A 27,148-nucleotide genomic window follows, 5' to 3' on the forward strand; every position below is an offset into this window, starting at 1 on the left:
CACCCCCACCATGATTCAATTACCTCCCACCGGGTCCCTCCCACAACACGCGGGAATTCAAGATGAGATTTGGGTGGGGACACAACCAAACCACATCAGGTTGAATATGAGAGTTGGGGTAGGCTGATTGCACTTCCTAGTGCTGCTATTGCCCCCTCTCTCCCCTCTCCTCCAAATAGCAGAACAGGAGGAGCAAATCAGATTGGGTTGGCTCTCAGGATGTGCTCAAAGTTTGTGCTCAGAGCTGAAGCCCATTTCTGGTCATGTTTCTCATCTATGTGGTAGGTTCATCCAGAGCCGGCCTCCTCATAGTAGGCCAAGCCACCTCACCCCTGTCTTCTTTTCTGCATGGGGAGATGGGGGATGAGCAAGGCAGATACAAAGGGGGACTTTATTTCCCATTCCAACTTCTCCTATACACACACCTCTCTCAGGGATCCATATGGAAGAGAAATTATCCAGGCAAGAGAGAAACAGGCCTCTCAATTGCATCAAACCTCCCCTTCTATCTACTCCGACGGTTGCAGGGTATTTTTTAACCTTCAGAGAATAATTTCCGCTTAAAACTTTTTTTTTTTTTTTTTTTTTTTTTTTTTTGAGGCAGAGTGTTGCTCTGTCACCCAGGCTAGAATGCAGTGATACAATCACAGCTCATTGCAGGCTCGAACTCCTGGGTTCAAGTGAACCTCCTGCTTCAGGTTCCTGAGTAGCCAGGACTACAGGGGTGCGCCACCATGCCTGGCTAATTTTTTATTTATTTAGTTATTCGAAGAGATGGGGTCTCACTATGTTCCCCAGGCCGATCTCCACCTCCTGGCCTCAAGCAATCCTCCCACCTCAGCCTCCCAAAGCAATGGGATTAGAGGCGTGAGCCACTGCACCCAGCTACAGCCTAAAACTTCTGATCTGAAATATGTTAGGCATTTTGAGAATATGGATGCAATGACTGCAGAATAATCTTGACTTCAGGATTAAGAGGCAAGGAGATACCAATTTCTGATGTGTTTTTGCTCAACTTCTCACGGAAGTCTCCATGCAACTAGAAAAAGACACAAAGTCACAGCGGTCCTAGAAGCTGAAGATAGTCATCCATTTGAATGAATCTGGGGAAACGTACACTCACCATGGCTCCAGTGAAGCGGATGGAGAAATAAAGCTGGTGGTCTCTGCAGGCACTACTAGAAAGCACCTGCCAGGAAAGGGTAGGAAGAGTCGTGAACAGCATGTGCTGCCTGCTCCAAGCTGGGAGACCCAGGTCTGCAAAATCCAGGCACCCAGACAACCAGCTCCTGACTATGTGTGCTTGGATTACTAGGAAGTCTGGCATCTTGTCCCCCTTCCCTTTTATCCATTTCCTCTCCCTTCCTGGTGCCTCTGTTTTGATCTTGAATTGCAGGAACAACCCCAGCATATTACATGGGAAGAAGTTTCAGCACCTGCAAGTAATGCAATGAGTGAGAGCCACAGGCAGCTCCCTCCACAGGCTCTCCTGTTTTCTTCCTTTTCTTTTTTTGGAGACAGGGTCTCTTTCTGTTGCCCAGGCTGGAGTGCAGTGACACAATCACAGCTGACTGCAGCTTCCAATTCCAAGGCTAAGGCAATTCTCCTGCCTCAGCCTCCTAAGTAGCTGGGACTACAGGCACACAACACCATGCCTGATTCATTTTTTAATTTTTTCGTAGAGAGACCAGGTGTGGTGGCTCACACCTGTAATCCCAACACTTTGGGAGGCAGAGGTGGGTGGATCACCTGAGGTCAGGAGTTTGATACCAGCCTGGCCAACATGGTGAAACCCTGTCTCTACTAAAAATACAAAAATTAGCTGGGTGTGGTGGCAGTTGCCTGTAATCCTGCTACTCGGGAGGCTAAGGCAGAAGAATCACTCGAACCTGGGAGGCAGAGGTTGCAGTGAGCTGAGATCGTGCCATTGCACTCCAGCCTGGGCAACAGCGAGACTCCCTCTCAAAAAAAAAAAAAAAAAAAAGGATTCAGAACTAAGGCCAGGTGCAGGAGCTCACCCCTATAATCCCAGCACTTTGGGAGGCTGAGGCAGGAGAATTGCTTGAGCCCAGGAGTTTGAGACCAGCCTGGGCAACCCAGCAAAACCCTGTCTCTATAAGAAATACAAAAATAAGCTGGGCATGGGGGTACATGCCGACAGTCACAGGTACTCAGAAAGCTGAGGTGGAAGCCTCAGGCTCCAGTTTCCTTCTTTTTTTGGAGACAAGGTCTCTTTTTCTTGCCCAGGCCGGAGTGCAGTGGCACAATCATAGCTCACTGCAGCTGCAGCTTCCAATTCCGAGGCTAAGGCAATTCTCCTGCCTCAACCTCCTGAGTAGCTGAGACTACAGGCACACACCACCATGCCTAATTCATTTTTTAATTTTTTTGTAGAGAGGCTGGGTGTGGTGGCTCATGCCTGTAATCCCAACACTTTGGGAGGCAGAGGCAGGTGGATCACCTGAGGTCAGGAGTTTGAGACCAGCATGGCCAACATGGTGAAACCCCGTCTCTACTAAAAATACAAAAATTAGCTGGGTGTTGGCAGGTGCCTGTAATCTCAGCTACTCAGGAGGCTGAGGCAGAAGTATCACTTGAACCCAGGAGGCAGAGGTTGCAGTGAGCCGAGATCACGCCATTGTACTCCAGCCTGGGCAACAGAGCGAGACTCCCTCTTAAAAAAAAAAAAAAAAAAAAAAAAAAAAAGGATTGAAAACTAAGGCCAGGTGCGGTAGCTCACACCTATAATCCCAGCACTCTGGGAGGCTGAGAATTGCATGAGCCCAGGAGTCTGAGACCAGTCTGGGCAACCTAGCAAAATCCTATCTCTACAAGAAATACAAAAATCTAGCAAAACCCTGTCTCTACAAGAAATATAAACATTAGCTGGGCACGGTGGCACGTGCCTATAGTCACAGGTACTCAGAAAGCTGAGGTGGCAAAATCACCTGAGCCCAGGGAAGTCAAGGCTGCAGTGAGCCAAGATTGTGCTGCTACACTCTAGCCTGGACAACAGAGTGAAACTGTCTCAAAAAAATAAATAAATAAAAATGAAAACTAGTGGGGAAACGTAAGGTTTAATCCAGCAGAGAAGGGAAGCACTGCCCTTTAATGTACAAAAACAAAATTAACTCCTCCAAATTATTCACTATCAGAGACAGAAGAAAGGTTAAGAAACACCTGCTTTGTGTTAGATATGGCCAATGAAAGCCTTCCACAAAGAAGATTTGTCCACAAATAGACATACGAAGATGAAAAGACAAGAGGCTGAAACAGGAACGGAAGGAGGCTGAGAGTCGTGGCTACCTGTAATTTCAGCACTTTGGGAGATCGAGGTGAGAGGCTGGGAGTTTGAGACCAGCCTGGACAACATAGCAAGACCCCATCTCTACAAAACAAATAAAAAATTAGCTGGGTGTGGTGGTGAGTGCCTGTAGTCCCAGCTACTTGGGAGGCTGAGGCAAGAGGATTGCTTGAGCCCAGGACTTAGAGACTGCACTGAGCTATGATCACACCACTGCACCGCAGTCAGAGTAACGGAGCAAAACCTTGTCTCAATAAGATAAAATAGAAAAGAAAATGAGCCTGGCTTCAGTGAGGAGAACAAACAAGAACAATGACAATGCACCAGCAAAGTCAAAGCCTACCTGGGACGCGCTGGCAGGGAACTGCAACTTCTAACTCATGTCAATAAATATTTACCCAAACCCATGACGTGGCAGCCATCGTGCTCGGCCTTGGGGATACTGCAGTGAACAGGGGGCATGTGGGCACTGCCCTCTAGGAAATTAAGAGTGCAGCTGCAAACAGAGACAACCAAGGACTCACAAGGGTGTGTGTGTTAAAAACGGGAAAGTGCTGCAGAAGGAAAATGCAGGGAAATTGGATATTGTCTGGGACAGTGGTCTCCATGATGTGAGCAAAGTAAGAGATGCTCATAAGCATCTAACACAGTGTGGGCACAGATTTCAGAGGCTTCATTCATTCATATTGCTTCTTCTTCTTCTTCTTTTTTTTTTTTTTTTGAGACAGAGTCTTGCTCAGTCACCCAGGCTGGAGTGCAGTGGCATGATCTTGGCTCACTGCAACCTCCGCCTCCCAGGTTCAAGCGATTCCCCTGCCTCAACCTCCCAAGTAGCTGGGAGTACAGGTGTATGCCATCGCACCCGGCTAATTTTTGTATTTTAGTAGAGACCAGGTTTCACCCTGTTGGCCAGGCAGGACTTGAACTCTTGAGCTCAAGTGATCCACCCGCCTCGGCCTCCAAAAATGCTGGGATTACAGGCGTGAGCCACCACACCCAGCCCATATCTCTTCTTAATCATCCTTTTCAATTTGTTTTTTGGGTATGCATTATAAGGGCCGCCATGTGTGAGTAGAGCAGCACCTGCATGTGACATGATAAAGAAATAACAGGGAAGGGGTAGGACACAGGACCTGGGAAGGGCAGAAAGAGAAGCCATTGTGTAATGGAAAAGTTGAAATCTGCATGATATGAACTTTTTACTTATACACTTAGACTTCATATACTCCTCTGTTATGTTACTTAAAATAGCATATTAGTATATTAATTTTATAGAGGTAAATATAAGTGCTTTCTGAAAAATATAATTTCCTTCCTTTTCCTCCCTCCCTTCCCTCCTTCCTTGTCTGCCTCCCCTTCTTCCTCCCTTCTTTCCTTTTTCCCTCTTCTTTCCTTCCTTTCTTCTCTGCCTCCTTCCTTCCTTTCCTCCCTGCCTTTTTCCCTCCCTTCCTCCTTCCTTTTTTCCTTCCTTCCTTCTCTTTCTTTCGACAGGGTCTCACTGTGTTGCCCAGGCTGGAGTGCAGTGCCGTGCCATGATTATAGCTCTCTGCAGCCACCTCAACATTTTCGGCCCAAGCAATCCTCCCACTTCAGCCTCCCAAGTAGCTAGAACTACAGGTGCACACCACCATGCCCAGCTACTTTTATTTTTTTGTAGATACAGGGTCTTGCTATGTTACTCAGGCTGCTCTAGAACTTCCAGGTTCAAGCAATCCTCCCACCTTGGCCTCCTAAAGTGCTGGGATTATCGGTGTGAGCCACCGCACCCAGCCAGAAAATATGATATCATATTACCTGGTGGGTGGGGGGAGAACAATTCCAGAAGCATAATAAATAGCAACAGCCACAGCACAGATAATCACATCAATAACCTACAGCCCCAACCTAGTCTAGACAGGGAAAATAAAAAAGAGGTAAAATGATGAGAGAAAGATAATACATGAAACACAGAAATTGGAGACTTGAACTTTACAAGAGAGAAAGACAAAAGGATCCGAGAATACTAGAAGGTATAGTAATGAGACATTTTTTTTGGAGCTAAGAAAGGGAAGACTTTCATGTGCTATCAATCACTAGCAGATCAAATAAGCAAATATTAATAACATCACTCACTGTGATGAACTATAGGGCAGGCACATTGTTAAGCTATTTTACTTATGATAGCAATAAGGTAGGATTTATTTATTTAGAGATGAAATTTCACTCTTGTTGCCCAGTCTGGAGTGCAGTGGCACCATCTTGGCTCACTGCAACCCCTGCCTCCCAGGTTCAAGCGATTCTCCTGCCTCAGCCTCCTGAGTAGCTGGGATTACAGGCATGCGCCACCACGCCCGGCTATTTTTTGTGTTTTTAGTAGGGATGGGGTTTCACCACGCTGGTCAGGCTGGTCTCGAACTCCTGACCTCAGGTGATCCACCTGCCTCGGTCTGCCAAAGTGCTGGGATTACAGGTGTGAGCACCCGGGCCAAGTCTATTTCTTTTTTTTTTTTTTGAGATGCAGTCTCACTCTGTCACCCAGGATAGAGTGCAGTGGTGCAATCTCGGCTCACTGCAACCTCTGCCTCCCAAGTTCGAGTGATTCTCCTGCCTCAGGCTCGTGAGTAGCTGGGACTAGGGGCTCACACTACCACTCCTGGCTATACTTTTTTTTTTTTGTATGTTTAGTGGAGACGGGGTTTCACCATGTTGGTCAGGCTGGTCTTGAACTCCTGACCACAAATGATCCTCCTGCCTCGGCCTCCCAAAGTGCTGGGGTTTCAGGCGTGAGGCCCCTCGCCCGGCCGAAGGTAGGTATTAATTGATGTCCCTGTTTTAATAAGGCATAAGGGAGGTTCAGATATTAGGTGACCTCTGTAAGATTATGCCACTAATTGTAATAAAATTCAGTTTTGAACCCTGATTTACCTTCACTCTAAAACATTCTTTCCATTATGCCATGTTGTCTTTCAAGATGAAAATTTCAGTAGTACAATTGCAATTACTAGATTATTAACCATACACACAGAAAATAACAGATAATATACAGAATGCTGTAGGAAAAAAAGGCTGTACCTCTTAAAACATTCATGAAACATTTATAAAAACAGGATTATATGGTAGATCGCAAAAAATCAACTAATTTTTCAAAGCTGAAATAAGCAGACCTCATTCTCCTACTCAAACCCAAAGAAACTAGGATTTAATATTAATAGTAAACATTGAAGCAGAGCCCTAGATCACTCCGAAATGGAAAACACTCTCCTGATCAATGAAGAATACAAATGCAAGATAGTATCTTTTAAAGAAAATGACAGTGAGAAAATTACATAACTCAAATATGTAAGTATTAATCAAACTTGTTTTCAGATGTAATTCATAACATTAAAATAATTTCATTATTTTGGGCTGGGTTTGGTGGCTCACGCCTGTAATCCCAGCACTTTGGGAGGCCAAGGTGGGAAGTTCATTTGAGGTCAGGAGTTTGAGACCAGCCGGGCTAACATGGTGAAACCTCATTTCTACTACAAAAGTACAAAAATTAGCCAAGCATGGTATAATCCCAGCTACTTGGGAGGCTGAGACAGGAGAATCGCATGAACCCAGGAGGTGGAGGTTGCAGCGAGCCACGGTTGTGCCACTACTGCATTCCAGCCTGGGTGACAGAGCAAGACTCCACCACAATAAATAAATAAATAAATAAATAAATAAATAAATAAATAAATAAATATTTTGTTATTTGGAAAGGAAAAAATAAAACATTTTTAAAACTTTAGAAAAGTTAGACTTAAAGGTAATAGGGGTAATGATATAATTAGGGTGATGGTAGAATTAGTTAATTGGGAAATTCACAAATAGATATGATATGCATTGTATCAAAAAGAGAGTTATTTGAGAAAACTATAAAATATATGAATGATTGACAAATCGAATCCAGAAAGAAGAAAATATAATTACAACTGAGAAAAGCTATGCAGCCACAAATACAGAAGAGATAAAAATTATGAAATACTGTACTTTGTATAACCAAAAGCTAATCTATTTCAAATTTTTTGTGAAACTATTGACTTTATTAAAAAAGATTATTACAGATTTAAGAAAATGCAGAAAATCAACAAAATCAGATTTCTAAAACTGATAACCTATTTTTAAAAAATACCTGAAAAGCTTCTCAAATTAGGAAAAATTATATCTGAGTTTTTTCCTGTTGTTGAGAAATAGACACTCCTCATGTTATATTAACTGTTCCAGGATGAAGAAAAAGTGGAAAAGCTAATATAACTCTCATACAAAAATACACAAAAGAAAACCAACCAACACATCTCACATGCAAAAACGCTAAAGCTGGAACTGGAAAATCTAATTTAAAATATGCTCCAAACATAGCTGACCACAGCCAAGTACAGATCATTCCAGAACTTGAGTACAATTTAATACTAGAAAAATCAATCCATGTATGAAATCAAATCAATAGACACAATAAAAAGTGTGGTGGTCTCTATGGAAGCTGCAAACAGTGCTGGGGAAAATACTAGATTCCTTCAGGACTTTTTAGAACAAGGACAAGAATAATCCTTTCTCGACAAAGTAAGAGTGATCTATCTCAAGGCAGAAGCATATTCTCCTACACCAGAGGAATTTCCATTAACATAAGCAATGCCCCAAGGATGCTTGTTATCATTTTTATTCAATGTTGTTTTCTGTGTTCTGGCCAATATTATGACTTGAGATACAAGTGAGAAAGATGACTAAAGGAATTCATGAGACAAGATGATCACTATTCAGGAGATGGTATGATTGTCTATCTAGAAAAAAAGAAATGACTCCATCGTAATTCTGGGAATTTACTAACAGTGGCTGGGTCCTGGACAAACATTTAAAAAATCAATCGTTTCCTTGTGTGGCAGCAATAACCATTTAGAAAATGGAGTAAATGCGGAGTTAAGGGGCTGTGAATATATAACAGCAAGAACTCCTGATCTGCCGTCCCGACAAGTCGCCTCCGGAGTGGACACCGGCCAGGGAAGGCAGGTCTCTGGAGGGAAGGTAGAGAGAAGATACGGAGGATCTGCCCCTTCCCCAGGAAGCTCCCCGAGAAAGGGCCACAACTGTTTACTCCAGCAGGCTCTGGGGGGATTCAGGCTTGGGGGTGATGGTCTTGACCTCACTGACTACTGACCACCCGAAGAAAATCTGCTCTATAGCCCGTGTCTCCTGCTCCTGGGTGGGATGTACCCTAAAGAGAGGGGGCTTCCTCCTTGACCTCAGGAAGGAGGCACACTTGTTTCTGGTCAGGTGAACATGAAAACCACCGGGCTTCCCCTAACCTGTTGGTGTGCCTTTGCCCTGACTTGGCAGAGAAGGCGGATGGAAATCTACAGCCAGGCAGAGAAATGACAACTCACTTCAGTCTCAGAAATGACAACTCACCCCGTCTCAGTGACCAGAGACAGGGTGACTCAATGAGCCTTTGAAGCACTTGGTTCCCACTGACTACAACTAAAGAAAGAAGACTTAGGTAAGAACTTAGAGGGTGGCCAGGTGTGGTGGCTCACGCCTGTAATGCCAGCACTTTGGGAGGCCAAGGCCAGGTGTGGTGGCTCACGCCTGTAATCCCAGCACTTTGAGAGGCCAAGGCCAGGTGCGGTGGCTCACGCCTGTAATCCAAGCACTTTGGGAGGCCAAGGAGGGAGGATCACCTGAGGACAGGAGTTCAAGACCAGCCTGGCCAATATGGTGAAACCCAGTCTCTACTAAAAATACAAAAATTGGCCAGACGTGGTGACGGGAGCCTGTAATCCCAGCTACTCGGGAGGCTGAAGCAGGAGAATCGCTTGAGCCCAGGAGGTGGAGTTTGCAGTGAGCCATGATCTCACCACTGCACTCCAGCCTGGGTGACAGAGCGAGACTCTGTCTCAAAAAACAAACAAACAAAGGAATATGTGCTCCCAAAGAGTGGAATCAGAGTACACCAAAGACTCCCAGAAAGTAAAAAGCATGATTTTCAAATATGCAGATTCATAGACACTCTGAAATTACCGGCTGGTAGGTGATAGGAACTGAGACAGTAGCCTGGAACCACTGCACAGAACAACAACTCAGAGCACATACCCAGTAATGGGAGTGCTGGGTTGAATGGCAGTTCTGTTTTTAGCTCTTTGAGGAATCGCCACACTGCCTTTCGCAAGGGCTGAACTGATTTACACTCCCACCAACATATATGAGTGTTCCCTTTACTCCCCAACCTTACCAGCATGTGTCATTTTTTTTTTAAGATCTATGTAGCAACTTTGGTTTTCTTTCGCAATCTTTATCAAAGTTTATCTATTTTTTTTATTTTATTTTTCCATAAGTTACTGGGGTACAGGTGGTATTTGATTACGAGTAAGCTTTTTAGAGATTTGTGAGAACATGGTGTACCCATCACCCAGCAGTATACACTGCACCATATTTGTTGTCTTTTATCCCTCACCCCCCTCCCACCCTTCCCCCCAGGTCCCCAAAGTCCATCGTATCATTCTTATGCCATCGCGTCCTCATAGCTTAGCTCTTACGTATCGGTGAGAACATACGATGCTTAGTCTTCCATTCCTGAGTTACTTCACTTAGAATAATAGTCTCTAATCTCATCCAGGTCATTGCAAATGCTGTTAATTCATTCCTTTTTTTGGCTGAGTAGTATTCCATCGTATATATAGATATATACCACAATTTCTTTATCCACTCATTGATTGATGGGCATTTGGGTTGGTGCCATGATTTTGCTATTGCGAATTGTGCTGCTATAAACACGCATGTGCAAGTACCTTTTTTGTATAATGACTTCTTTTCCTCTGGGTAGATACCCAGCAGTGGGATTGCTGGATTGAATGGTAGTTCTACATTTAGTTCTTTAAGGAATCTCCACACTGTTTTCCGTAGCGGCTGTACTAGTTTACATTCCCACCAGCAGTGTAGTTATTTTTGACTTTTTCATAGTAGCCATTCTTACTGGTGTAAGATGATATCTCATTGTGGTTTTGATTTACATTTTTCTAATGGTCAGTGATACTGAGCTTTTTCTGTATGCTTGTTGGCTGCATATATGTACATATATATATATATACGTGTATATATACACGTATATATATATATACATATATATACATATATATACATATATACATACATATATATATACATATATACATATATATACATATATATACATATATACATACATATATATATACATATATATATATATATAATGGAATACTATGCAGCCATGAAAAAGAATGAGATCATGTCTTTTGCAGGAACATGAATGGAGCTGGAAGCTGTTATCCTTAGCAAACTAATGCAGGAATAGAAAACCAAATACTGCATGTTCTTACTTAGAAGTGGGAGCTAAATGATGAGAACACATGGATGCGAAGAGGGGAACAACAGATACTGGGGCCTACTTGAAGGTGAAGGAGGGACAGTACCCCAAATAATTATTGGGTACTAGGCTTAGTACATGGGTGACAAAATAATCCGTATGACAAACCCCTGTGATAGGAGTTTCCCTATTATAACAAACCTGCACATGTGCTCTGGAAACTAAAATAAAAACAAAACAAAACAAAACAAAACACACAGAGCTAGAGACTGGGAGGTAAAAGCTGAGAGACCTGGAGACTAAGATCCCTGAGGTCTAACCTGATGAGGACAGGAATTCCAAAGAAAGAACAAAAGAACGGATGGAAGAGAAATGCTGTTCATGATCGCTGACATCCACAGAGCATTTTTTATCTGCCAGGCATCATAGTACATGAGTTAACTCATTTAATCCTCACACCACACTAACGAGGTAGATATTATTACTATTTCATGTCCTAAATCAGGAAGTGGAAATCAGAAGAGCTTATGCTCAATTTGCATGGGCCAGACCTGGGGCTGGGTGGGGCAGGGTGAGGCGGGGGTTCTGAATTTGGCAGTCTAACTCCAGAGTCCATCATTTTAACCAAGCTGGTAAAGATTAACAGAGGCTGATTAAACAAATAATAGAAAAAGTAACCCCAATGCAAATAAAGACATAAATAGCAAAGAAATTAAAACTTAGAAAAGTTAAACATAAATATGGTAATAGGGGTAATGATAGAATTAGGGGAAAGGCAGAATTAGTTAACTGGGAAATACACAAATAGATATGGTAATCATCGTTGCAAAAAAAAGAGGATTCTTTGAGAAAACTATAAAACATATGAATAATTAACAAATCTAACCCAGAAAGATTCAAATAAAATTGCAACAGACAAAAACTATGTAGCAACAAATACAGAGGAGATAAAAATTATGAAATACTGTACTTTATATAGCTGAAAGCAAATACATTTTAAAACTTTTGTGAAATGAGTAATTTTATTGAAAAATTACTAGTTTATGACATTTAGCACCAAGCTGAGTGGCTCACATCTGTAATGCTAACGCTCTGGGGGGCTGAGGAGTGAGGATTGCTTGAGGCTAGAAGTTTGAAACCAGCCTAGGCAACATAGCAAGACCTCATTTCCACAAATAACAAAAAAATAAAAAAAATTAGCCAGTCTTGGTGGCACACACCCATAGTCCCAACTACTCAGGAGGCTGAGGCAGGAGGATTGCTTGAGCTCAGCAGCTGAGGCTGCAGTGAGCTATGATCGCACCACTGTAATCCAGCTGGGGCAACAGAGCAAGATCCTGTCTCAATTAAAAAATAAAAGACATTTAGGACCCATATGAAGAAACCTATACAACTTTAGTGATATATTTTTAAAGCCTTTAAAAGAAAACATAAAAGAATACCATGCTTCCTGGTAGAAGGATTACTCTAACAATTTTATACTTCTTAAATGAATGGATATGTTTAATGCAATTTCAGGATAAATCCCTATGGAATTTTTTTGGAAATGTCCCAGTGAATTGGTCATTTGGAAGAATGAGCAGGAAAGAAAACCTCTAAAAGGAATTAAGGACAGTAATGCTATATCTAGTAATAAAATCTATTATAAAACCACAATAAAAAAGTACTGATGAAGGTTAAGTAGGAGATAAACAAAACAGGGCAATTCAGAAATAAGCCCTAGTAAATAAAGATAATAAACATAAAAAATCGAATGGAAAAAAGGAGGCTTAGTTAACAAATGGTGCTGAAAAGACAGGTAAAGAACTTGAAAGGAAAAATCGATTTTATTCCTCACTTGGCATTTTACTCTAGAACATGAATTAGAGGATAAAAAATTAGAGAAATATATAGGTAAAATGAAGAAAATCCTATCTAAGCTTAAAATCAATAAAGGAATAACAAAAAAATAGAGATTCACAGACTTGCTAACATACTCTGCATGTTAAAAACATCAGGGACTAAATTAAATATTTAGCAATAATCTAGGAAAACTCTATGCAATGAATATGGCAAAAGAATAGCATTCTTCAAATACGAAGAAATTCATTAAAAGATGAATACTAAAAGATAAAAACAGATAATCCACAAAAGACAAACACAAATATTAAACATGTAGAAAATGTTCAACTTCAATAATATGAAAATAAATGCAAATTAAAGCAATAGTGAGCTAGCATTTTCCACATCCCCAGTATGCAATGTTATTTCATTTTTGTTGTTGTTGTTGTTTTGTTTGTTTTAAAAACAAGGTCTCACTCTGTTGCTTAGGCCGGAGTGCAGCGGCATGATCATAGATCATTACAGCCTCCAATTTCTGGCCTCAAGTGCCCCTCCTGCCTCAGCCTCCCCAGTAGCTAGGATTACAAGCACATGCCACCAAGCCCACCTGTTTTTTAAAAAAAAAAAGTTTGTAGAGATGGGGTCTCACCATGTTGCCCAGACTAGTCTTGAACGCCCGGCCTGAAGTAATCCTCCCAGTTTGGCCTCCCAAAATGCTGGAATTACAAGCTTGAGCCATGAAGCCTGGCCAGATTTTAAGTGAAAAGACAGAGTACACAGTTTGCTGAGTCTTCTCACTAATACTGATGGTAACAGACATGAGCATAGACTTTCTGGATACTAATTTGGCAATGGCATTTAGATAAAAAGTTCCTTTTTAAATGTTCTTTTTTTTTTTTTTTTTTTTTGATTCAGTAATTCCTTTTCTGGAATCTGTCCCAATGAAGTGTTCAGAAATTTGGTCATAGATTTCTGCATCATGCTGTTTATCATAACATTATTTGTAACAGTGAGAAATGGAAAAGAATAAGGAATATAAATAGGAAATGAAAAATCAACCCATCGCCCAGAAGTAACATACGTGTATTTTTTCTTCATTTTCTTCTAAGCAAATAAACAAAATAATTAAAATTATGTTTTCCAGTCCTTTTTACTTGATATTGTATTGTGAAGATTACATGTTATTAAAACTCTTTACAATAATGAGTGTAGAAGACTTATTGGGAAAAAAAAACCTCTTCATAATAAAATTAGTTGTATGACATCTTACAGAAAGCCATAGATTTCTCCATTGATCCCCTATTTTGGTGTGGTCTTATCGTTTCTGTATTGGCATGAAATATGTTTGTAATGGAACAGGAAGTTGTTTCTCTTTTTCAAGTCTTCAAGCGTCTACATGAAAGCGTTCTTGAGGGGTAATGGTTCTGGCAAGCGAATACTGCAGCTGAATGCTGATAATTTCCTCTGTGGAACACGTAGCACAGTTTTCTAAGTCGTGCAGAAGTTAAAATGTCACTTGGCACCAGCCCATATTATCCAGAATGTTATACAACCACCATCCGGATCATTTCACGCAAAATTAGAATTGTATAGAAAATTGCTCTTCTGGGGCCCCACCACTATACCACATATATTAAATAATCACGCCACGTTAAACACCTACACGTGCTACCAAGTCTTATCCAGATGAGACCCTGGATGATCGTAAGTGCAATTGTTTCACCTCCAGAAATTAACTTGCTTGAGTAAAAAGTGGGAGTAAATATCTCTTAGTGGCTGCTGGGGGTTGCTACAAGCTGCAACAAGCTGGAATCTTTTTTTTTTTTTTTTTTTTTTTTTGAGACGGAGTCTCGCACTGTTGCCCAGGCTGGAGTGCAGTGGCGCCATCTCGGCTCACTGCAACCTCCACCTCCCGGGTTCAAGAGATTCTCCTGCCTCAGCCTCCCAAGTAGCTGGGATTACAGGTGCCCACCACCACACTCAGCTATTTTTTTGTATTTTTAGTAGAGATGGGGTTTCACCATGTTGGTCAGGCTGATCTCAAACTCCTGACCTCAGGTGATCTGCCTGCCTCGGCCTCCCAAAGTGCTGGGATTACAGGCACAAGCGACCATGCCTGGTCAACAAGCTGGAATCTTTAGAGAACACCCAAGAGTGTCTGTCCACACCCTGGGCAGAGGGCCAAGGGGGCAGGACTTTGGAAGATGGTAAGCTCTGAACTGAAATAGTGGAGAAGAATAACTTCACAAAGCTCTCTATGAAAAATACGCCTTTGCCCCATATAGATCATAGACACTGGGGATGCTGAGTTGCAATGCAGTGCAAAAGGACAGTGACGTGCAAAAGAAGCCATGGTATTCTGCATTAAAAAAACAAAAGTCGAAAACGAAGAACGCTGTCTGGCTTTAAAACCCAGCTGTCAACAGGAGGAAGTGTAATCATTTTGACATGTTTCCGTTTCGTTGAAGATTCAAGGTTTTAAACTTGGACTTAAACCTAAATGTTATGCTTCCTGGATTGTGAACATCCAATTTCATTTATATTTTTAAACTAAAACTTTAGAAATGGATTAAGCAGTTGAAAACTTCTGGGATTCACAAGAGATGTACAGAATATATTCCTTTTAAATCGTCAGTTTCAGAAACCTTTATCAAGGAAAATTAACAAACCACTCTTAGGAATGTCATTCCATCTATGGTCTTCAAAATCTGTCTCCATCTTTCCAAGATCTAGACCTCCTAAAAGTAGGTCAGAGGGATTACTTTTTCCTGCCACTTACCTGGTCTTCATTAGCAATGGTATGATAGGGATGGTATATTAAAGGAATGCTCAAATGACAACAGTAGGGATGAAGATTTCTTCAATAACCCATGTCAAGAAAATATGGGCAGATTGAAGCAAACCCTGACAATCCCTCATACTTAGGAACTCCCAACCCTCATTCTTGCCTTGGCAAAAGTTTTCTGAAAAAAAAAGCCAGTAAGTCAATACTTCAGGCTAAATTTAAAGGAAACTACTTGGAAATTACCTTGCTCTGAAATCTTGTTAGAAGCATAATATTTCCAAAAAGAAATTGAACTATAATAGGTTTCAGAGCTTAGCTTTCAAGGTTGCAAATGACCGTCAATTGTGAACTCAGGGTACCCACAGCAAAAGACTCATGACAGCTGATCTCCCTATATTTTGGTGAATCCTTACAGCATTCACTCAGTATTTTATAATCCCAGTCCTCCTGTAATTTCCCATAACTTAGTTATAGTGACCTCATTTATGATGAAACATTCAATTAACCACTTAGGTTGAAAAAAAACTGTGAAAAATTTCTGAGAGGTTCTGATGATGGGTAGAGGAAGCAACACTCTACCCTGCTTCTTTCCACTGCTGGCAGCTGTGGAACATGCAGAGAACGCATGGAACAGCTATTTGGGGATTCTGAGAAGTAAGTTGTAGTAGCAGGTGATTTGGAGAAGACCTGAATTTAAAGTACCACCAAACCAGCAAAGAGTTTGCTACAGTTTTTCCTCGAGTACCCCCAGCTAGATGCAATGCTAAAGACCCCGGGCAGTGGGCATTGGTGTGGGTGGTGAGAGCTCCAGGAAGCCTCTAGTTTTGGCTTGAGGGGTAGGAAAAGGGTCTCTAACATTCAGAGAGAGTGGGGGAAATACTTCCTGTCTTTTCATTTCACCATTTCTTCATGCCTCAACCCATGGTAACCTGCAGGTGCTTACATGCTCTGAAGGAGAACCTTTCCTTCTGATCAGTGGAACCATTGTCTCGAGTAGGAACAAATGCCTGATGCCTTTTTCTCTTTCTCTTCTCTTGTAGCTTGGATCAGGAAGCTGATACAGCCAAGGAAAGTATGCATAAGAGTAGGACAAATAAAGCCTCAGCTTGCTGGACATAGGAATGAAAAATAGAGTCCTAAATAAATGGTAGTACCAAGGAGGTCTTGGAGAGTGAAGAGGTTGGCAAAGCTACCCCGCCATTTTGTGTATGAAATCCTGGGCTCACCTGTAAGTTGTTCATGCCTGTCTAACCCTAAACAGTCTGCCCTAGACTCTGAAAACTGGAAAACATGTGAGATGGTTTGGATATTTGTCCCCTTCAAATCTCATGTTGGAATGTGAGCCCCAATGTTGAACTTGGGGCCTGTGGGAGATGTTGGATCATGGTGATAGATCCTTCATAAATGGCTTGGTGCTCTCCCCACCGTGATGCATGGTAGTGAGTTCACGCAAGATCTGGCTGTTTAGAAGAGTCTGGGATCTCCCCCGTCTCTCATGCTTTGTGACACACCAGCTCTACTTCCCTTCTGCCATGACTGAAAGCTTCCTGAGGCCTCACCAGAAGCTGAGCAGATGTGGGTGTCACGCTTCTTGTATAGCCTACAGAACTGTGAGCCAAATAAACCTGTTTTCTTTATAAATTACTCAGTTTCAGGTATTTCTCCATACCAAGGCAAACTCCTCCATAGCAACAACTAACTCAATGGGACAAAATACTACACAGCTCCCAGAATGGCCAACGGGTGGAGCACGAGCAGAACAGATCTGAATAGTGTTGCAAAGCCTTGGAAAACTGAACAGACCACAATCCAAAGAAAGCTGGTCAGAATTTTCAGCCTACACCCAACCAACTCAATCTGCCTGCTCAAACAAAAATATCAACATTCTCTGGAGGATTTAAAGAAGAGCCGGGATCTCATAACGTAATATTCAAAATGTCCAGACGATAATACAAAATTAATCAGCATATGAAGAAGCAGGAAAATTTGACCTGTATAAGAAAACACAATCACCAGACGCTACAGACACAGTTGTTGGAATTATCTGAAAAAGATGTTAATGAAACCATTAACACTGTGTTCTTATTTATATCACTTATTTCTTTGTTGAGAGGTTTTTATCTTTTTCTATCTTTCCACTCCTCTCATTTGCAAATCCTCTCGAGAGGAATGGGAAAATAGAAAGTCTAGACAAAGAAATAAATGATATAAACAAGACTACAATGAAAATTTCAGAACTAAAAAAAAAAAAACAGTAACAGCAAAGAAGCTCTATAGAGGGGCTCAATGTAGAAATGGAGGTGATAGAAGAGCTAGTGAATTTGAAGATAGGTCAATAAAAAATGTGAGTCTTTCTCCTCTTCTTCTATGATTAATGTTCCTACTATCAGAGGCATAAAAGGAGATGAGAAAGGCTGCAGAGAAGAAAAAATATTTAAAGAAATAATAGCCAAAAACTTTCTAAATTTCTCAATAGAAATAAAACGGCCTGGGCGACAGAGCAAGACTCTGTCTCAAAAAAAAAAAAAAAAAAAAAAGAAATAAACCAACAGATTCACCAAGCCCCTAAAGCCCCAAATGGGATGAACCTAAAATAATACATCCTCAAACATATCACAATCAAATTGCTGAAGAATAAAGACAAAGAAAAACATCTTACAATCAGACAGAAATAAATGACGCATTACCAACAGAAAGCAATGATTCCAATGACTATAGATTTCTCATCATAAAACACTGAGACCAGAAGGAAGTGGAACAACATTGTTAAAGAGCCAAGAGATAAAAAACTGTCAACCCAGAATTCTACATCCAGTGGAAACATCCTTCAGGAATGCAGTCAAAATGAAGACATTTTCCAATGAAGAAAAGTAAAGAAATTCATTGTCAGCACACCTGCTCTAAAAAAAATTTTAAAGGATGTTCTCCAGAAAGAAATAAAATGATACCAGGGCTGGGCACAGTGGCTCACGCCTGTGATCCCAGCACTTTGGCCAAGGTGGGTGGATCACTTGAGGTTAGGAGTTTGAGACCAGTCTGGCCAACATGGTGAAGCCTCATCTCTACTAAAAAATACGAAAATTAGCTGGATGTGGTGGTGTATGCCTGTAGTCCCAGCTACTTGGGAGGCTGAGGCAGGAGAATCTCTTGAACCAGGGAAGTGGAGGTTGCAGTGAGCCAAGATCATGCCACTGCACTCAAGCCTGGACGACAGAGTGAGACTCTATCTCAAAAAAAAAAAAAAAAAAAGAAAAAAAATAAATAAATAAAATGATACCAGAAGGGAACTTAGAACATAAGAAATGCCAAATATATGGGTAAATATAAGATTATTCTTACCCTGTTTGGTTCTTTAAAAATGTTCTATGGTTGAAAACAAAAATTATAACATTGTCTCATGTGGTTTTCAATGTAGGTTGATATAACATCTAAACCTTTAACTAGAATGACAAAGGAAATGGATTGATTCTTCAGATAATACAAAACTCACCAACGAAGAAAGACACATCCTAAATAGTCCTATTAAAGAAATTGCATTCACAGTTTAAAACTTTCCAAAAAAGAAATCTTGAGGCCCAGATGGCTTCCTTGGCAAATTCTACCAAAACATTTAAAGAATTTTTTTCTTTATGGATAAATAATGCCAATTTTACACAATCTCTTCCAGAAAATAAAAGAGGAAGGAACACATCTCAGTTTATTTGATAAGGTTAACATTGTCCTGATACCAAAACCAAAGACATTACAAGAAAAAACAAACAAAAAAACACCTAGAGTCTAATACCTCTCATGAACTTAGACACAAAGACATAAGGTTTTCTTTGGTGTCAAAACCTGATCAAAAAAAAGGATCAAGCTGTTCTTGAGCTGTATCTTGAATGTGCTGACCTGTACATGTATATGAATTTACACGTGTTAAAATTCACAGAACGGTACACCCTCAAATGTCAATTGTATGTTAATTCAAAATTTAAATTTTAAATCTAAAAATGTTTTAGGGCCATAACTCTCAGATTGCATTAAGAAGCCAGTTTCAACATCTGCAAAGCCATACAATAATCTTTCAAAATGGTATGACATGCAATGCCATAAGTCTCTTGGGAAAGTTTTCCTCTCTCTTAAAAGGGGACAGCCCTGGCTTTGCATATTGTCCTGTGAAGATGCAATATATAGCAGCCATCCTGTATCCACAGGGAGAAGCCAAGAGAACTGCAGAGTTGCTGAGCTAGATAGAGGCCTGGCATCTTGAGTGGCTGCATTCACCAGCCAAGAGCTCATCTTATCTCCAGACTTGCCATGAGAGCCAACAAAACCAAATCATTCCATGTACTGGCAGCTGAAAAAAGCAAAACTTGGATAGTATAACTGAATATCTATTTGAATTACTTTATACAGGTTGAGTATCCCTAATCCTAAAATCTGAAATCAGAAATGCTAAACAATCTGAAACATTTTGAGTGACAACCTGACGTGGAAAGGAAATGCTCATTGGGGCATTTCAGATTTTGGATTTTGGGATTGTGGATGCCCAATCAGTAAGTATAATACAAATATTCTCAAATCCACACCCCCACCCCCAAAATAAAATCCAAAATCCAAACACTTCTGGTCCCAGGAATTTCAGATAAGGAATACTCAACCTGCATAGCTTTTATGGATGAATTGGACATATGCCTTCTTGTAATAGCAAATTTAAAAACTTCTTTTTCTGGCCAGGCACGGTGGCTCATGCCTGTAATCCCAGCACTTTGGGAGGCCAAGGCAGGCAGATCACCTGAGGTTAGGAGTTCGAGACCAGCCTGTCCAACATGGTGAAACCCCGTCTCTACGTCTCTACTACAAATACAAAAATTAGCTGGTCATGGTGGTACACTCCTGTAATCCCAGCTACTCAGGAGGCTGAGGCAGGAGAATCACTTGAACCCAGGAGGCAGAGGTTGCAGTGAGCTGAGATCGTGCCACTGCACTCCAGCCTGGGTGACAGAGTGAGACTCCATCTCAAAAAAAAAAAAAATAATTAATTAAAAATAAGTAAAAATAAAAATGAAAACTCGTTTTTCTCTATGAAGATTCTATGACCCCCTCAAGGTGCAAGTGAACTTTCTGAGGAGAAAATTACTCAAAATCAATTAAGGTAAGGCAAAACTAATCACTTTTGGCAGGTGCTCTTTGTCAGCCAGATGGACAATTCTAAACAGCTCTATTAGATTGGGTAACTGATCCAGTTAGGTGGGGAAGGGTTTTGTAGCCAGCAAATCCTGACAAGCTATCCTGATATAACCCCAGTAAAAATCATATATTTTGCAACAACTATTATTTTAACATAGACAGGGATGGTTGTTAAATCCTGACATAGAATCTTCTAACTCAAGGTCATCTCTTTCATGATCCATGATGCAAGACTCCTAGCCTTCCAGATTTCTGATTTTGGATTTTTTGATTAGGGATGCACAACCAGTAAGTATAATACATATATTCCAAAATCCATCCCCCCTCAAAAATCCATAATACTTCTGGTCCCAGGCATTTCAGATAAGGGACACTCAACTTGCATAGCTTTTATGGATGTATTGGTGCTTGCTCAGGCATTTAAGCTGATCCTAGGCTGATCTTTTTAAAAAAAAAAAATCTGAGCTCTGTTATTATGTGGCTCTAGGACCACTTCTGTGCAGAAACATAGCTGCAGTGCACTTGGGCACAAACAGACATCAGGCTATTTGTAAAATATATTAATATTCTGAAATAGTGATATACATGTAAAATATATTTATATGTTAATATATGTAAAATATATTTATATGTTAATATTAATATATGTAAAATATATTTATGTTAATATATGTAAAATATATTTATATTTTAAAATATTAATATTAAAATATTAATATTTTAATGACCTTTATCACCTAGACATTTGAAATCCAACAAAACATGGGCTACCTTTAAATCAACAATGCATCATGGCCAGCAATCTCAACTATTAGTTGTACTGTTTGTTCATACTACAGCCCAATCTGTTGACTGCTGCAAGTTTTAGTAGCCACATAACTCTACTTTCCATCAAACTCTTGCCTTCACAGCAGTGGCCTCCCCGCCCCCCTGCCCCTGCCCCAGCTGGTCCTTGTTATAGTCTTGAGAGCCACCCCAGAAACAGACTCATTCTTCTTTTGCATGACAACCCTTCAAATACCAAGTGGCAACCTAAACTGCTTAAAGACAACTACCATATCTTCACCTATTCTTCTCTATAAAGCAAGCATCCCCAATCCCATCTCGGATTCATTACAGTATGTATTCTGGAGTCCCATTGAGATCCCGGTTCTTGCCTCCAAATGTCCTCTGTGGGATCTCAAGGTGAGGAAAGCAGGACCGAACCCCACGCTTCATCTGTGTGGAAGTCAGGAGTTCAAGACCAGCCTGGCCAATGTGGTGAAACCCCATCTCCACTAAAAATACAAAAAATTAGCCAGGCGTGGAGGCGGGTGCCTGTAATCCCAGCTACTCAGGAGGCTGAGGCAGGAGAATCACTTGAACCTGGGAGGCAGAGGTTGCAGTGAGCCAAGATCACACCATTGCACTCCAGCCTGGGCAACAAGAGCAAAACTCCATCTCAAAAAAAGAAAAGAAAAGAAAAAAAGAAACAGCAAGGATAGGAGGATAATTACTTATTTTGATATGATGCAATACCTCTAACAGTGCAGCCTCCAAGTAAAATTCGCATTATTGATAGTCCCATCATTCTGTGGATCCACATCCAAGCTCAAGTCTGTCACCTGCACCTGTGCTGGAAACTGGTCCTGCTCTTGTCACACTTTTCTTCTCTTGTTTTTGTATAGTTGATTGTTTGGATGCAAATGCAGGACCTTACAATTGTTTCTGCTAAATCTCATCGTGTTGGATTCGGCCTAATTGTCTCAGCCTGTCAAGACCTTTTTGGATCTTAATTCCATCAGGCACTGGCTTCAGGGAAGCACTGCTAAAACTTTTCAACACAATAAAGTGGGGGACAGAGCCCTGGGGCACGTTACTGGGAGTCTTCCTTTGGGCATAATTATTCACCCAGTCCTACTTCTACCTAATTGCAGTAGCATCCAGCTCATATTTTTCTATCTTAACCACACACATACCAAATTCGTCAATGTAAACTTGTCAAATGCTTTGGTGAAATCCAGATTCACTCTGTCTAAGGCACTCATTTTCCTTTTTTTCAGTACTTTTTTTTTTTGATAAAAGTGAATGTTTCCAGGAACCAACTGTCCCTTTCTGCTTACTGCTTTACAACCAAATGCAACCGTACCTGCTTCGATCTGCCTTTGTAGACAGCTACTATATGTATGACTCTTTTTTAAGAGACAGGGTCTCTTTCTGTCAATCAGGCTGGAGTACAGTGGCGCCATCACGGCTCACTGCAGCCTTGAACTCCTTGGCTCAAGTAATCCTCCTGCCTCAGCCTCTGAGTAGCTGAGACTGCAGGCATGCACCACCAGGCCCAGCTATTTTATTTTATTTTTTTTTTTTGAGACAGAGTCTCACTCTGTTGCCCAAGCTAGAATACAGTGGCACGACCTTGGCTCACTGCAACTTCTGCCTCCTGGGCTCAAGATATTCTCTCGCCTCAGCCTCCCCAGCAGCTGGGATTACAGGCACGTGCCACCATGCCCAGCTAATTTTTTTTTTTTTGTATTTTAGTAGAGATGGGGTTTTACCATGTTGCCCAGGGTGGTTTTGAACTCCTGAGCTCAGGCAATCCACCCACCTCGGCCTCCCAAAGTGCTGGGATTACAGGTGTGAGCCACCACGCCCAGCTGGAACTATAATTCTTAAGTACTTACTCCCCAAGTAGGATGGGTCTGAAATCAAAGGAAAGGCTTCTTCCATGTTTTGGTCAAGTGACGCAGAGATGGGAAAATAGAGGCAGAAATTTAGGTAGAGCCTGACATCTACAGAGCCAAAATAGGTTTCTCCATACCTTTTCTTAGACACAAGGTCTCTCTCTGTCACCCAGGCTGGAGTGCAGTGGTGTGATCATGGCTCACTGCAGCCTCCACCTTCCAGGCTCAAGCTATCCTCCTGCATCAGCCTCCAGAGCAACTGGGACTACAGATGCTATATTACCATGCCCAGCCAATTTTTTCTATTATTATTTTTAATACAGACGAGGTTTTGCTATGTTGCCCAGGCTGGTCTCAAACTCCTGGCCTCAAATGATCCTCCTGCCTCAGCCTCCGGAAGTGTTGGAATTACAGGCATGAGCAACCACTCTCAGCCACTCCATAATTTTTCTATGACTCTCTCAAGCCTCCAGAGCACTCTGGAAAGCAGTATCTTATAAAGAAAAATTTAAAAAAATCAGCTATCTCTCAATAAAAAGTTATAGGGGAATCTGTCAATAAGTTACAACCAATCGCTATGCTAAGGAGGAGTCCAGTGAGCTGACTGCTGATCCACCGAATGGCATGCCTCTCTCATGTACCTGGGCAGCGGCACTTGGTATGCTTGGGCCCCAGGTCCAGCAAGGGCTGACCTCAGACCACCTTCTGCTGTCCTCTTCATCTGCATTTGGTGGCAGATACAGACCAGGAAGGAGTCACAGGCAAGGAAAGTCAGCTGATTCTACACGGCCTTGCAACTTTGCAGAATGTTTTAATTTTTCAAAGTTATTCCCTCTGTATCTGCTTCTGTGTGCTTTGTATCTTAGTCATTATTTACAAGTCTGGCTTGGCTACCAGATAATGAGGTAAACTAAACTAATTCAGCAATCTCATTATCACCAACCAATTTGTGCCCACGTGTTAATGCATAAATATCATCCTCAATTAAAGCTTAAATAGTCAATCTTGGCTAAAATGAACAACGATGGGGCAGGGTGAGGGGAGAGCAATTTCCCTACTTTTTAAATGCAAGCACCTCCACCAGCAAAAGATTTTAAAATATACATGACATTCATTTATTCGCAAATTATATACATACACTATTTACTCATCAAATATTAACAGAGATCTATTCTTAATTTTAGATGAGAAATAGATACGAGAAGGTTCTAATATTTTCTTTTTATACCCCAATGGATTTTTCCCACAACCCTTTAACTACACGCACACCACTTTGAATCCCAGTGGTATCAACCATGATGAAGTTAAACAAATCCTGGATTGTAATCATGGCTTATTGACCTAAACCAAGTCATTCCTCCTCTTTGGGCCTCCTGTTTTGTTTGTTTGTTTGAGACGGAGTCTTACTCTGTTACCCAAGCTGGAGTGCAGTGGCGAGATCTCAGCTCACTGCAACCTCCACTTCATGGGTTCAAGCAATTCTCCTGTCTCAGCCTCTCAAGTAGCTAGGATAACAGACGCCCGCCACCATGCCCAGCTAATTTTTAAATTATTTTTAGCAGACATGGGGTTTCACCAGGCTAGCGAGGCTGGTCTCGAACTCCTGGCCTCAAGTGATCTGCCTGCCTCGGCCTCCCAAAGTGCTGGGATTACAGGCATGAGCCACCGCACTGGGCCGGGCCTCATTTTGCATATTTTTTGTTGGATTAATAATACTCACTTAGCTACCTGACACAAGATGATTAAAGAAAAAATCTCCCAAATGGTTAAACCATCACATAGATGTAAAATAATGCCATTTTTATTATTGTGATTATCTTATTGATTGAGGACGGTGGAAAAACTGGAGGAAATAGGTACACTGAAAACACTTGGAAGTAGATATAGACTGATTCTAAGTTGCAGGAGAGTTCAGAACTGCTTTTGAGTACAATGAAAATTGCTTTCCCATCAAGAACAATTTGGATGGCCATCCAGAGGAGCAGATGCCAGTGCACACAGAGAGGGCAAGTGACACTGCAAAGTGGCTGGAGACGTCCGTGCGGAATCGCAGACTTCAGGAGAACCACTGCAACTGTCAGAACTCTGACCTCAGGATGAGATGTCACAGCCAGGTAATGGGTCCCCGCTGCTCAGGCAGACACCAACCTAATGGGACACTGGCCTTGGTGGATGGGTGTAATGAGGTGACATCTTGGACTAGTTTCCTGAGGCAGTTGTAGCCAAGTATCACCCACCTGGTGGCTTTAAAAAAACAAAACATGACCTAAATGAATGATCTCACAGTTCTGGAGGCCAGAAGTCTGAAATCAGTATCACTGGGGCCAAATCTAAAGCACTCCCTCTGGAGGCTCTAGGGAGCATAAATTCTTTGCCTCTTCCAGCTTGTGGTGTCTCCAGTATCCTTTGGTTTCTGGCTACACCACTCCAATCTCTGCTCCATCTTCACAAGGCCTTCTTTTCTCTGTGTGTCAAATCTCCCTGTGCCTCCCTTGCAGAGGGATACAGGATGGCAATTAGAACCCACCCTGATTATCCAGGATAATCTCCCCCCAAATCCTTAACTTAAAAAGGATTGCAAAGACCTCTTTTCCAAATAAGGTAACATTTACAAGTTCAAAGAGGGAGAGCTTGATATCTTTGGGAGGCCATTTTTCAGCCTACCATACCCCTACCCAATCTCCCTCTATCTTGAGATACTAGGATTCTATGGTTTATGCATAAGCAACAGTATTTGGTACGAATAAAGTAAAGTGTTACATAAGTGGCATAATGAGTGCAAAAGCAGTCAGAAAAGGGAGGGAGAGCCCAACTATGACCTCTTGGGGATGTCCTGAGGTCCTCACCAGGAGTGTCCCTTCCCAAGAACAACATCTGTCCCCAAACTCTATGGGGCACAGAAGAGAGAGATTCCCAGAGCCTGACAGTCTCCAGGCAACTCCCTCTAGCCTTGATCCATCCTATTCTCTATTCTACCTAATATTTTCTAATTGCTTTAGGAAAAATCCTTGTCACTGCAAAGAAAACAGCCTCTCTGTCAAAACTAGTTTGGTCAGTCAACTATAACAACACATATGAAAAGGGAGGGCAGAGGAAGGTGAAATGCCTTTGGGAATGCAGAATCATTATGGCATTCCCATCTTTCTCTCTCCCAAAACGTAAAAACTTGCACTAAAAGAAAAGTTGCACTAGGTCCTCGCTTTTACATTGCTTCCTCAGGAGCAAGGCAGAATATATGAGGTATGTCCTGAGTCAGAGAATGTGTCCAACTGCTGCAGGTCCATGAGGCTCTGCCTGGCCCAGCATTCTGTTGTTTACGGAAACCTCAGAGACTCAGCTAGGTTCTCCTTCCTGATGGCAACCTCAAATATTAAATATATTCCACCTGCTCTTCATAATTATTGGTGATTCATGAATCTGCTTGGGCCCTTTTAGAATTTATTTATTTCTCCCACTTCGTTCTTCTTCAAGGGATATGAAGAGTTCCCTGACTTTATTGTGGCTTTATGAATTAGGATTTAATTTTGTATCCAAAACTTCTCATTCAAGGCAAAAGGGACCACAAGGTATTAATTTCCAAATCTGACATATGATTCTGGGCGAATGCTCTGTACTTACAACATTATAGATTTTAATCTCGTCCCCCTGTTAGACTTTGCCACTTCAGTCTGAAGGGACCAAACTTTGCAGTTTTTATAAGGTCTCCTCCCCTGTCTATAATTCAATTTCTTAAGTCCTATTGGACATTTGGTTCATGAGGCCTGCTGTGAAATAACATAGAAGAGCTTCCAATGCAAAGGCTTAATTGAGTTCACCCAGAAAGTCAAAACAAAACTGGATGGAGAAGATGGCAAAGCAGAGAGCACTAGGAATCTGTTTCCCCACCTGGACAACAATCATGCTGGCAGAATTTGTCCTGTGTGACTATTTTGAAATTCCAGGCTATTGAAGGCTTGCAACTTCCAGGGAAAGGCTTGGTTGGTAAATTGCAGTTAATTTCCATCAATTTCAGCTCTTAGCACAGTAGCCGCTACCCATCCCCTACTCCCAATCCCATGGCAGGGAGA

The 27,148-nt window shown here is 41.5% G+C and overlaps 1 protein-coding gene across 15 annotated transcripts in view, besides 1 other annotated feature; it reads right to left on the reverse strand.

Moving 5' to 3' along the window:
• The window catches only part of CALN1 (calneuron 1), a 724,789-nt gene that overhangs the window by 264,542 nt on the left and 433,099 nt on the right, over positions 1 to 27,148 (reverse strand). The gene's annotated exons all lie outside the window — the stretch shown is intronic.
• Positions 4,987 to 5,156: an enhancer, noted in NCBI's record as "experimental_99965 CRE fragment used in MPRA reporter constructs". NCBI's record gives its function as "activates a minimal promoter by MPRAs in K562 erythroleukemia cells, with activity observed for the non-introgressed 7:71514089 variant allele {active_cell/tissue: K562}" and the evidence as "EXISTENCE:reporter gene assay evidence [ECO:0000049][PMID:34662402]".

Source organism: Homo sapiens, chromosome 7 (genome assembly GCF_000001405.40).
Source record: "Homo sapiens chromosome 7, GRCh38.p14 Primary Assembly".
Classification (NCBI taxonomy): domain Eukaryota; kingdom Metazoa; phylum Chordata; class Mammalia; order Primates; family Hominidae; genus Homo; species Homo sapiens.